The sequence below is a fragment of the Homo sapiens genome, chromosome 4 (genome assembly GCF_000001405.40).
Source record: "Homo sapiens chromosome 4, GRCh38.p14 Primary Assembly".
Lineage (NCBI taxonomy): Eukaryota > Metazoa > Chordata > Mammalia > Primates > Hominidae > Homo > Homo sapiens.
In genome coordinates, this window is record NC_000004.12 from 190,173,122 (window position 1) to 190,186,799 (window position 13,678).

At 49.8% G+C, this 13,678-nt stretch overlaps 1 protein-coding gene across 4 annotated transcripts; it reads left to right on the top strand.

Moving 5' to 3' along the window:
- On the top strand, positions 653-12,790 carry DUX4 (double homeobox 4). Of its 4 annotated transcripts, NR_137167.1 has the most exon segments (6): positions 653-1,935; positions 2,072-2,163; positions 8,996-9,060; positions 10,115-10,182; positions 12,220-12,318; positions 12,728-12,790. NR_137167.1 is itself a non-coding variant. In NM_001293798.3 (3 exons), exon 1 carries the CDS (start codon positions 653-655, stop codon positions 1,925-1,927), a length of 1,275 nt encoding a protein of 424 aa, NP_001280727.1. In that variant the 3' UTR covers positions 1,928-1,935; positions 2,072-2,163; positions 2,526-2,724.

A 13,678-nucleotide genomic window follows, 5' to 3' on the forward strand; every position in this document is an offset into this window, starting at 1 on the left:
TCTGGTCTTCTACGTGGAAATGAACGAGAGCCACACGCCTGCGTGTGCGAGACCGTCCCGGCAACGGCGACGCCCACAGGCATTGCCTCCTTCACGGAGAGAGGGCCTGGCACACTCAAGACTCCCACGGAGGTTCAGTTCCACACTCCCCTCCACCCTCCCAGGCTGGTTTCTCCCTGCTGCCGACGCGTGGGAGCCCAGAGAGCGGCTTCCCGTTCCCGCGGGATCCCTGGAGAGGTCCGGAGAGCCGGCCCCCGAAACGCGCCCCCCTCCCCCCTCCCCCCTCTCCCCCTTCCTCTTCGTCTCTCCGGCCCCACCACCACCACCGCCACCACGCCCTCCCCCACCACCCCCCCCCCCACCACCACCACCACCACCACCACCCCGCCGGCCGGCCCCAGGCCTCGACGCCCTGGGTCCCTTCCGGGGTGGGGCGGGCTGTCCCAGGGGGGCTCACCGCCATTCATGAAGGGGTGGAGCCTGCCTGCCTGTGGGCCTTTACAAGGGCGGCTGGCTGGCTGGCTGGCTGGCTGTCCGGGCAGGCCTCCTGGCTGCACCTGCCGCAGTGCACAGTCCGGCTGAGGTGCACGGGAGCCCGCCGGCCTCTCTCTGCCCGCGTCCGTCCGTGAAATTCCGGCCGGGGCTCACCGCGATGGCCCTCCCGACACCCTCGGACAGCACCCTCCCCGCGGAAGCCCGGGGACGAGGACGGCGACGGAGACTCGTTTGGACCCCGAGCCAAAGCGAGGCCCTGCGAGCCTGCTTTGAGCGGAACCCGTACCCGGGCATCGCCACCAGAGAACGGCTGGCCCAGGCCATCGGCATTCCGGAGCCCAGGGTCCAGATTTGGTTTCAGAATGAGAGGTCACGCCAGCTGAGGCAGCACCGGCGGGAATCTCGGCCCTGGCCCGGGAGACGCGGCCCGCCAGAAGGCCGGCGAAAGCGGACCGCCGTCACCGGATCCCAGACCGCCCTGCTCCTCCGAGCCTTTGAGAAGGATCGCTTTCCAGGCATCGCCGCCCGGGAGGAGCTGGCCAGAGAGACGGGCCTCCCGGAGTCCAGGATTCAGATCTGGTTTCAGAATCGAAGGGCCAGGCACCCGGGACAGGGTGGCAGGGCGCCCGCGCAGGCAGGCGGCCTGTGCAGCGCGGCCCCCGGCGGGGGTCACCCTGCTCCCTCGTGGGTCGCCTTCGCCCACACCGGCGCGTGGGGAACGGGGCTTCCCGCACCCCACGTGCCCTGCGCGCCTGGGGCTCTCCCACAGGGGGCTTTCGTGAGCCAGGCAGCGAGGGCCGCCCCCGCGCTGCAGCCCAGCCAGGCCGCGCCGGCAGAGGGGATCTCCCAACCTGCCCCGGCGCGCGGGGATTTCGCCTACGCCGCCCCGGCTCCTCCGGACGGGGCGCTCTCCCACCCTCAGGCTCCTCGGTGGCCTCCGCACCCGGGCAAAAGCCGGGAGGACCGGGACCCGCAGCGCGACGGCCTGCCGGGCCCCTGCGCGGTGGCACAGCCTGGGCCCGCTCAAGCGGGGCCGCAGGGCCAAGGGGTGCTTGCGCCACCCACGTCCCAGGGGAGTCCGTGGTGGGGCTGGGGCCGGGGTCCCCAGGTCGCCGGGGCGGCGTGGGAACCCCAAGCCGGGGCAGCTCCACCTCCCCAGCCCGCGCCCCCGGACGCCTCCGCCTCCGCGCGGCAGGGGCAGATGCAAGGCATCCCGGCGCCCTCCCAGGCGCTCCAGGAGCCGGCGCCCTGGTCTGCACTCCCCTGCGGCCTGCTGCTGGATGAGCTCCTGGCGAGCCCGGAGTTTCTGCAGCAGGCGCAACCTCTCCTAGAAACGGAGGCCCCGGGGGAGCTGGAGGCCTCGGAAGAGGCCGCCTCGCTGGAAGCACCCCTCAGCGAGGAAGAATACCGGGCTCTGCTGGAGGAGCTTTAGGACGCGGGGTTGGGACGGGGTCGGGTGGTTCGGGGCAGGGCGGTGGCCTCTCTTTCGCGGGGAACACCTGGCTGGCTACGGAGGGGCGTGTCTCCGCCCCGCCCCCTCCACCGGGCTGACCGGCCTGGGATTCCTGCCTTCTAGGTCTAGGCCCGGTGAGAGACTCCACTCCGCGGAGAACTGCCTTTCTTTCCTGGGCATCCCGGGGATCCCAGAGCCGGCCCAGGTACCAGCAGGTGGGCCGCCTACTGCGCACGCGCGGGTTTGCGGGCAGCCGCCTGGGCTGTGGGAGCAGCCCGGGCAGAGCTCTCCTGCCTCTCCACCAGCCCACCCCGCCGCCTGACCGCCCCCTCCCCACCCCCACCCCCCACCCCCGGAAAACGCGTCGTCCCCTGGGCTGGGTGGAGACCCCCGTCCCGCGAAACACCGGGCCCCGCGCAGCGTCCGGGCCTGACACCGCTCCGGCGGCTCGCCTCCTCTGCGCCCCCGCGCCACCGTCGCCCGCCCGCCCGGGCCCCTGCAGCCTCCCAGCTGCCAGCACGGAGCGCCTGGCGGTCAAAAGCATACCTCTGTCTGTCTTTGCCCGCTTCCTGGCTAGACCTGCGCGCAGTGCGCACCCCGGCTGACGTGCAAGGGAGCTCGCTGGCCTCTCTGTGCCCTTGTTCTTCCGTGAAATTCTGGCTGAATGTCTCCCCCCACCTTCCGACGCTGTCTAGGCAAACCTGGATTAGAGTTACATCTCCTGGATGATTAGTTCAGAGATATATTAAAATGCCCCCTCCCTGTGGATCCTATAGAAGATTTGCATCTTTTGTGTGATGAGTGCAGAGATATGTCACAATATCCCCTGTAGAAAAAGCCTGAAATTGATTTACAGAACTTCGGTGATCAGTGCAGATGTGTTTCAGAACTCCATAGTAGACTGAACCTAGAGAATGGTTACATCACTTAGGTGATCAGTGTAGAGATATGTTAAAATTCTCGTGTAGACAGAGCCTAGACAATTGTTACATCACCTAGTGATCAGTGCAGGGATAAGTCATAAAGCCTCCTGTAGGCAGAGTGTAGGCAAGTGTTCCCTCCCTGGGCTGATCAGTGCAGAGATATCTCACAAAGCCCCTATAAGCCAAACCTTGACAAGGGTTACATCACCTGTTTGAGCAGTGGAAATATATATCACAAAGCCCCCTGTAGACAAAGCCCAGACAATTTTTACATCTCCTGAGTGAGCATTGGAGAGATCTGTCACAATGCCCCTGTAGGCAGAGCTTAGACAAGTGTTACATCACCTGGGTGATCAGTGCAGAGATGTGTCAAAACGCTCCTGTAGTCTGAACCTAGACAGGAGTTACATCACCTTGGGGATCAGTGCAGAGATACGTGAGAATTCCCTTGTAGGCAGGGCCTAGACAAGTGTTACATCACCTAGGTTATCAGTGCAGAGATATGTGAGAATTCCCGTGTAGGCAGAGCCTAGACAAGTGTTACATCACCTAGTTTATCAGTGTAATTATTAGTCATAAAGCCTCCTGTAGGCAGAACGTAGACAAGAGTTCCCTCCTCAGGGTGATCAGTGCAGAGATGTGTCACAAAGCCCCTGTAGGCAGAGCCTAGACAAGAGTTTCATCACTTGGTTGATCAGTTCAGAGATGTGTCAGAATGCCCATGTAGGCAGATCTAAGACAAGCGTCCATCACCTGGGTGATCAGTGCAGAGATATGTACCAGTGTCCCCTGTAGGCAGTGCCTAGACAAGAGTTGAATCACCTCAGAGATCAGTGCATAGATATGTCACAAAGCCTTCTGTAGGCAAAGCCCATACAAGGTTTAGATCACCTAGGTGATCAGTGCAGTGATATGTCACAAAAATCCCTGTAGACAGAGCCTAGACAAGAGTTACTTCACCTGGGTGATCAGTGCAGATATTTGACACAATGCCCCCATAGACAGAGCCTAGGCAAGACTTCCATCACCTGGGTGATCAGTGCAGAGATATGTCACAAATCCCCCTCTAGGCAGAGTATAGAGAAGAGTCCCATCACCTGGGTGATCAGTGCAGAGATATTTCACAATGTCCCCTGTAGGCAGAGAGTGGACAAGAGTTACATCACCTAGATGATCTGTGCAGAGCTATGTCAAAACGCCCCTGTAGGCAGAGCCTAGATGAGTGTTACATCACCTGGGTGATCATTGCAGAGATACGTCACAATACCCCCTGTAGGTGGGGCCTAGACAAGAGTTACATCACCTGGGTGATCAGTACAGAAGTATGTCACAAAGCCCCTGTAGGCAGAGCCTAGACAAGAGTTACATCACCTGGGTTATCAGTGCAGAAATATGTCACAAAGCCCCTGTAGGTCGAGTCTAGACAAGAGTTACATCTCCTGGGTGATCAGTGCAAAGATATGTCACAAAGCCCCCTGTAGACAAATCCCAGAAAATTGTTACATCACCTGGGTGATCAGTGGAGATATGTGTCACAATTCCCCTTTAGGCACAGCTTAGACAAGCGTTACATCACATGAGTGATCATTGCAGAGTTATGTCACTATGCCCCCATAGGCAGATCCAAGACAAGAGTCCATCACCTGGGTGATCAGTGCAGAAATATGCCACAATGCCGCCAGTAGGCAGATATAGACAAGAGTTACATCACCTGCGTGATCACTGCAGAGATATATCACAATGCCCCTGTAGGCAGAGCCTAGACAAGAGTCCCATCACCTGGGTGATCAGTGCAGAGTTATGTCACAATGCCCCCTTTTGGCAGAGCCTAGACAAGGGTTACATCACCTGGGTGATCAGTGCAGAGATATGTCACAATGTCCCTGTAGCCATATCCTTGACAAAAGTGACATCACCTGGGTGATCAGTGTGGAGATATGTCACAATGTCTCCAGTAGGCAGAGCCTAGACAAGAGTTACATCACCTGGGTGATCAGGGCAGAGATATGTCACAATGCCCCCTGTAAGCAGATCCCAGACAAGAGTTGCATCACCTCGGTGATCAGTGCAGAGATACGTCACAATGCCCCTGTAGGCAGAGCCTAGACAAGAGTTACATAACCCAGGTGATCCGTACAGAGTGATGTCACAACGCCCTCTGTAGGCAGAGACTAGAAAAGAGTTACATTACCTGGGTGATCAGTGCAGAGATATGTCACAATGCCCCCTGTAGGCAGAGCATAGAGAAGAGTTGCATCACCTGGGTGATCAGTGTAGAGATATGTCACAATGTCCCCTGTAGGCAGAGCACAGAGAAGAGTTGCACCACCTGGGTGATCAGTGCAGAGATATGTCACAATGTCCCCTGTAGGCAAAGCCTAGGCAAGAGTTACATCACCTTTGTCATCAGTTCAGGGATATGTGAAAACGCCCCTGTAGGCAGAGCTTAGACAAGAGTTACATCACCTAGTTGATCAGTGCAGAGATATTTCACAATACCCCCTGTAGGCAGATCCTAGACAAGAGTTGCATCACCTGGGTGATCAGTGCAGAGATATTTCACAACGCCCCCTGTAGGCAGAGGGTAGACAAGAGTTACATCACTTAGGTGATCAGTGCAGAGATTTGTCGAAATTCCCTGTAGGCAGTGCTTATAAAAGTGTTACATCACCTAAGTGATCAGTGCAGAGATATGTCACAAAGCTCCTGTAGGCAGAGCTTAGATGAGTTACATCACCTGGGTGATCAGAGCAAAGGTATGTCACAAAGCCCCCTGTAGGCCAAAGCCTAGACAATAGTTACATCACTTGGGTGATCAGTGGCGAGATCTCTCACAATTCCCCTGTAGGCAGAGCTTATACAACAGTTACATCACCTGGGTGATCAGTGCAGATCTATGTCACAATGCCCCCATAGGCAGATCCAAGACAAGAGTCCGTCTCCTGGGTGATCAGTGCAGAAATACGTCACAATGCCCCCTTAGGCAGAGCCTAGACAAAAGCCCCATCACCTGGATGATTAGTGCAGAGTTATGTCACAAAGTCCCTTTAGGCAGATCCTAGAAAAGAGTCCCATTACTTGGGTGATCAGTGCAGAGATATGTCACAATGCCACTGTAGGCAGAGCCTAGACAAGAGTTATATGACCTAGGTGATCAGTGCAGAGATACATTGCAATGCCCCTGTAGGCAGAGCCCTGACAAGTGGTACATCACCTGGGTGATCATTGCAGGGATATGTCACAAAGCACCCTGTAGGCAGATCCTAGACAAGAGTTACATGACCTGGGTGATCAGTGCAGAGATATGTCACAATGCCACTGTAGGCAGAGCCTAGACAAGAGTTACATGACCTAGGTGATCAGTGCAGAGATACATCGCAATGCCCCTGTAGGCAGAGCCTTGACAAGTGGTACATCACCTGGGTGATCATTGCAGGGATATGTCACAAAGCACCCTGTAAGCAGATCCTAGAGAAGAGTTATATCACCTGGGTGATCAGTGCAGAGATATGTCACAAGCCCCCTGTAGGCAGAGCCTAGACAAGAGTTATATCACCTGGGTGATCAGTGCAGTGATATGTCACAATGCTGTGTAGCCAGAGCCTAGACAAAAGTTACAGCACCTGGGAGATCAGTGCAGAGATATGTCACAATGTCCCCAGTAGGCAGAGACCAGGCAAGAGTTGGATCACCTCGGGATCAGTGCAGAGATATGTCTCAATCCCCCTGTGGGCACAGCCTAGACAAGAGTTACATCACCTCGGTTAACAGTGCAGAGATATGTCAAAATGCCCCTGTAGGCAAGCCTACACAAGTATTACATCACTTAGGTGATCAGTGCAGAGATATGTCACAATACCCCCTGTAAGCAGAGCCTAGACAAGAGTTACATCACCTGGGTGATCAGTGCAGAGATATGTGACAAGGCCCCTTTAAGCAGAGCCTAGACAATAGTTACATCACCTGAGTGATCAGTGCAGAGATCTGTCACAATGCCCCTTTAGGCAGAGCTTAAACTAGAGTTACATCACCTGTGTGATCAGTGCAGAGATATGTCACATTGCCCCCATAGGCGAATCCAAGACAAGAGTCAGTCACCTGGGTGATCAGTGCAGAAATATGTGACAATGCCGCCAGTAGGCAGAGCCTAGAGAAGAGTCCCATCACCTGGGTGATCAGTGCAGAGTTATGCCACAATGCCCTCTGTAGGCAGAGCCTAGACAAGAGTTACATCATCTGGGTGATCAGTAAAGAGATATTTCACAATGCCCCTGCAGGCAGAGCGTAAGCAAAAGGAGTATGTGATCAAACAAATTTAGACCCACTCGATTAAACGTGTGTCCTTTCTGCAGAGTTTCTTAGAACTTCTCATACACTGGTGGGCATTGTGGCTGTCTAAGTCAGACGGGTGGCCTGCAGGTTTCACAAAGATCTTGGACCACTGAATTCTGTTATTGCTTGAGAATATTTTAAAACTGTTTTGCAAAGGAGTACACCTTGGAAAACATGAGATAACAGTTCTATACCTCTGTCATTTTCATTATTAAAGTATTTTTTGGCATGAAAAACTTCTTTTTAAAGAAAACATGTGGTTTGATGTTTCATCATCTTGGAACCTTCTGTCACTTTCCACATCCACCACCTTGTGCTAAACTGTCCACCTGTTCACTGCAAAACTCCTCACCTTTTTGCCATTTGTTCACTCTGCCCAGTATTTTTACTTTCAAAGTTTTACCTCCTTTCACAAGAGGTTATGTCAGGAAATATACAATCGAAGTGAGAAGGAGAAAGAAATTCATTACATAAGTCTTAAAGGAAAAAACAGAAAATCCAAAGCATATTGAAAGAAAGCCTTGCAAGAGAGGAGGCTCAAGAGCTTTATGTCATAGCAGGACACCAAGAAAGTTCTAAGAAGGCCATATCAGAATGCCCTCTGCCGACTTTCAACCCCAGGATCAACACTTCACATGCATTAGCAGAGAGAGATAAATCAAAAGTGATCAGTGCAGAGATATGTCACAATACCCCCTGTAAGCAGAGCCTAGACAAGAGTTACATCACCTGGGTGATCAGTGCAGAGATATGTGACAAGGCCCCTTTAAGCAGAGCCTAGACAATAGTTACATCACCTGAGTGATCAGTGCAGAGATCTGTCACAATGCCCCTTTAGGCAGAGCTTAGACTAGAGTTACATCACCTGGGTGATCAGTGCAGAGATATGTCACATTGCCCCCATAGGCAAATCCAAGACAAGAGTCTGTCACCTGGGTGATCAGTGCAGAAATATGTGACAATGCCGCCAGTAGGCAGAGCCTAAAGAAGAGTCCCATCCCCTGGGTGATCTCTGCAAAGATATGCCACAATGCCCTCTGTAGGCAGAGCCTAAACAAGAGTTACATCATCTGGTTGATCAGTAAGAGATATTTCACAATGCCCCTGCAGGCAGAGCGTAAGCAAGAGTTACATCACCTAGATGATCAGTGCAGAGATACGTCACAAGGCCCCCTATAGGCAGAGCCTGGACAAGAGTTACATCACCTCGGTGATCAATGCAGCGATATGTCACTATGCCCCGTAGGCAGAGCCTAGTCAAGCGTTACATCACCTGGGTGATCAGTGCAGAGATATGTCAGAAAGCCCCCTGTAGGCAGAGCCTAGACAAGAGTCCCATCACCTGGGTGATCAGTGCAGAAATATGTCACAATGCCCCCATAGGCAGATCCAACACAAGAGTTACATCACCTGGGTGATCAGTGCAGAGATATGTAACAATGCCCCCAGTAGGCAGAGCCTAGAGGAGAGTTACATCATCTGGGTGATCTTTGCAGAGATATGTCACAATCCCCCAAGTAAGCAGAGCCTAGACAAAAGTTACATCATCTGGGCGATCAGTGCAGAGAGAAGTCACAAAACCCACATAGGAAAAGACTAGACAAGAGTTACATCATCTGGGTCATCAGTGCAGACATATGTCAAAGCTGCCGTAGACAGAGTGTAGACAATTATTACATCACTTGGGTGATCAGTGCAGAGATCTATCACAGTGCCCCCATAGGCAGAGCCTAGACAAGAGTTCCATCACCTGTGTGATCAGTGTAGAGATATGTCACAATGCCTCCTGTAGGCAGAGGCTAAACAAGAGTTACATCACCTGGATTTTGTTTCCTGCAATATGTCACAATGGCGAGGGTGAGGGTTAGGGTGAGGGTGAGGGTTAGGGTGAGGGTCAGGGTGAGGGTGAGGGTTAGGGTTAGGGTGAGCATTAGGTTTAGGGTTAGGGTTAGGGTTAGGGGTTAGGCTTAGGCTTAGGGTTAGGCTTAGGCTTAGGGTAAGGCTTAGGGTTCAGGTTCAAGTTTGGATTCGGGTTCAGGTTAAGAGTTAGGGTTAGGGTTACTGGTTAGGGTTAGGGGTTAGGGTTAGGGGTTAGGGCTGGGTTAGGTTTAGGGTTAGGGTTAGGGTTATGGGTTACAGTTGGGGTTAGGGTTAGGTTTTAGGGTTAAGGTTAGGGTTAGGATTGGGGTTAGGTTTAGGGTTAGGGTAGTGTACCTGGTTTCACATTATTACTAATAATAAATTATTATTTATACCTAACTGTAACCCATAACCCTAACCCTAACGGGAACCTAACCCAGCCCTAACCCCTAACCCTATTTGTTTCCCTAACCAGTAACCCTAACCCTAACTCTTAACCTGAACCTAGACCAGAGTTCCATCACGTGTGTGATCAGTGTAGAGATATGTCACTAGTGCCTCCCGTAGGCAGAGGCTAAACAGAGTTACATCACCGGGATTTTGTTTCCTGCAATATGTCACAATAGCGAGGATGAGGGTTAGGGTGAGGATGAGGGTTAGGGTGAGGGTCACGGTGAGGGTGAGGGTTAGGGTTAGGGTGAGCATTAGGTTTAGGATTAGGGTTAGGGTTAGGGGTTAGGCTTAGGCTTAGGGTTAGGCTTAGGCTTAGGGTAAGGCTTAGGGTTCAGGTTCAAGTTTGGATTCGGGTTCAGGTTAAGAGTTAGGGTTAGGGTTACTGGTTAGGGTTAGGGGTTAGGGTTAGGGGTTAGGGCTGGGTTAGGTTTAGGGTTAGGGTTAGGGTTATGGGTTACAGTTAGGGTTAGGGTTAGGTTTTAGGGTTAAGGTTAGGGTTAGGATTGGGGTTAGGTTTAGGGTTAGGGTAGTGTAAATAATTTCACATTATTACTAATAATAAATTATTATTTATATTACACTATTACTTAATATATAGGCTATTAAGACATGTTTGTCTTCAAAGAATGGCCTTGGTTTCTGTGGACAGTTTCTCCTCATGGAAAGGTAGTGTGTTCCTGCTAAATCATGGACAAAACGGGTCCCCAGGAGCTACAGGCTGCAGAAGCAGCTTCTCCTCTATGTTCTTCACTGCCTCATACTGTTGTTGACCTTGAAACCTTCTTTTGGTCTAGTTTTATCAACAGAGCTAGTATTTACATGAGGTTCTACTACATACCAGGTTCCAGAAAGCTAAATGCTTTTTGTTTGTTTTTATTCACTAAATACAAATCACAACTCTCTTCTCATTACACACACAACAAAATTTAGCTGAGGGAGATTGAGTGACTTTCCCAGGGTCACACAGCTACTAATAGCAGAGTAGTGTTTAGATTCATATGGGAATACTGAACACAGAAATGAACCAATGGAAACATCCTACGTTCCAAAAGCCTACTCAAGCCATTTGTTCTTATTTTAAGGAAAATATGCTAATTTTAAACTCCAAATACTTATGAATGGCAGAGATCTACAGATTTGATTCTGATGTAAGAAATGATGCTCACCAGCTGGTTACTGCTACCACCCCACAACCCGCAGCATACTGGACAAATGTCTAAGCCTCGTGGTTAGTGGGGACATTGCTGGTGGAGTCTGAAATTGTCATGCAGTGACTCACTCAAGCTTAGGCAGATTTGGTGATATATGACACAGAGATGCAAAGAAATGTTGTAGCTGACACACACAGGCTGGCTCTGGGAGATGCAGAAGGAGCACGTCCCCCAAAATGAAGCCAGACAGACATCCTTAAGGAAGGAGCAAAGGGGCTTCATCTTAAAGAATGAAGAAGGGATTTGTCATGAGAGATGTGGCAGGAATTTCTTGAGAGGCAGAGGGAGAGCATGAGAATGTTAGGAAGGCAGGAGAGACTCTCACACATCTGGGAAGCTGACAATCCATCAGCATGTCCAGGAGGAAAATAAGGAGGAGGAGCAGAAATAGATGAGGCTGGATATAGAAGCAGGGCTGAAGCTGTGTTGTTTGTGGTAAAGAGTTGTGATTCTATCCAGAAGGCAATAGGTAGCATTCTAAACAGAGATCCTTTTTTTTTTTGAGATGGAGTCTTGCTCTGTTGCCCGGGCTGGAATGCAGTGACACGATCCCGGGTCACTGCAAGCTCCTCCTCCCAGGTTCACACCATTCTCCTGCCTCAGCCTCTGGAGTAGCTGGGACTACAGTCGCCCGCCACCACACCCGGCTAATTTTTTTGTATTTTTAGTAGAGACGAGGTTTCACTGGGTTAGCCAGGATGGTCTTGATCTCCTGGCCTCGTGATCCGCTAGCCTCGGCGTCCCAAAGTGCTGGGATTACAGACGTGAGCCACCACGCCTGGCCACAGAGATCTTTTAAAACAAGAGTCAGCAAATATTTTCTGCAAAGGGCTAAATGTTAAATATTTTAAATTTTCCAAGCCATATGGTCTCTCTCTCAATGACTCAGCTCTTCCATTATACCATGAAAGTAGCCAGAGACGTTATATAACACATGTACGTGGCTGTGTCCCATTACAACTTTACTTACAAACGCAGACTGTGTCAGACATAGTCCATGTATGGTAGTTTGCCACACCTTGTTTTAGAAAGCTCAGGTTTATGATGTGATGGAGAATTCCTACAAGAGTTCTTGTTTTAAATGGTAGAGTGAACATACACTGGAATTCTATACTGCTTGACCCAAGCTTTTGATAGCAAAAGGTAGAAAAGACAGATAGTAAACAGATAGATAGATGATAGGAAGGTAGATAGATAGATGATAGATAAAGAAAGTACATAGCTGTTCCAGAAAACAGAAACTGAAAATTTCATGAACCAAAAGCAGAGTAATATACTTTAGAAAGGAAGCAGGCTGGAAAACCCACAGTTGCAAAGCAAATGGAATTTCCAACTGCCTCTTGTAGCCCCTTCCTTGAAGTAGTCATAGCTCAGGGTGTTTGACTTCTTCCTCTGTTTTTTGTTTGTTTGTTGTTTGCTTTTCTGTGGGGTTTTTGTTGTTGTTGTTTGCTTTTTTTAAAAAAAATTCCCTTTCACTGCTTTTTTGTCACAGCAGCCTTTGTCGCTTCAAACACCGCAAGTGTTCTTTTAAAAGAATTATATCAACCTTTCAAGTGAAATGCAACATGTCTGAAACGTGGTATCTGGAGAGGTGAGATGGACAAAGGAGCCCTTGTTACTGCACGTTTTCATTCTCCAAACTTCACCTTGCACACAGTAACAGACAATGCACAAATCCACTTCCTTATGGACGGAAATTCTGAAATCCTTTTATGCCTGGCCTTTCCATCCTTCAACTTCCCCTTTCCCATGCTGTGAATGATTGTATTGGACATTTTTGTTTTAATCTCAGTGACAGGGGAACACAGGTAGCTCTAATATAGCTGTGACTGAGATGCTTCTGTTTCTAGCGTGTATTTATTTTGCAGCAAACATTTACATCCATGATTTTCACTGTCTTTTGAAAATAATTAAGCAATATCTCATCTGAGGTAGAATGTTTCTAGTGGTTGTGTTCTGAGGGAGAAAAACTAATCTTTTCTCTTTCCACTGCATTCTAGGAACAGTAAGAGGACCTTGTGAGTGAATAATTTGTTTCCACATTACAGAGTGGGTAATAAGCAGATTAGTAAAAACAATTCTGCTTCACTTCAATAACAGCCTCCTCCAACTCATTTTTTCTCAACAAACTTATTTTTCCAGCAGAAGAATCCCAGACTTCTTAGAGAACCCAGTGACTTTTTGCACCTTAAATCTGTGAAATCCTCATGTTTTCTTCTGCTGTATCTATAGTTCAAACAAAGATGAGGCAAAACTAGACGCATTCCTGAAGGAACCCAAGAAATTCCTCTTTCTGTCTCGGAATGAAATGAATTCTCCAGACCACTAGTTCTAACCTTCAAAAACCAAACCTGTTTGTGAGATCTCCTTCAAATACTACTGTAGACCCTAGTATTTATTCATTAAATTTTTAAAATATTTGTTTTATTTGGAATCAAAGTATTTGTAATTTTAGTATTTGTATTAATATAAGGGAGAAATGTTTAAATCTGCCTATGCCATATGTGCCTCTGGCTTATTGCCCAATTAATTGTAGTCTCAGGCTAAACTTTCGTTTCTGTCTTCAATTTTTGTCAGAAGAAATATAACTGATCTCAAAACATCTGCTTTTATGTAGGGACTTGTGCTGCCATCTCCATTCCTCTCTCTCTTTTTGCAATCTGGGTGGAAGTTCTTTAATATGAACATTTCAACCAGCTTCATTCTACCACATCCACTATGAGCACATTCAAACGTATCCAGCCAAGACTGTCATCTTAGGCCAGGGATCTTTTAGGAATCTATTTTGCTGTGATGTGGCTGGCACCCCTTTGATTCACTGTATCACCCCAGGGTTCTTTTCATTTTATAAGCCCAAGAGGGCAGAAAATGAAGTAGATGAGCAATTAAACACTGTGAGTCAGGAGCGTCTCCCCTTGTGTTAGGCAATGTTGTAGAACATCGTATTTAGT

Excerpts from the sequence above, each read along its gene's own strand:
- DUX4 (NM_001306068.3), top strand. The coding sequence starts at position 653 with ATGGCCCTCCCGACACCCTCGGACAGCACCCTCCCCGCGGAAGCCCGG.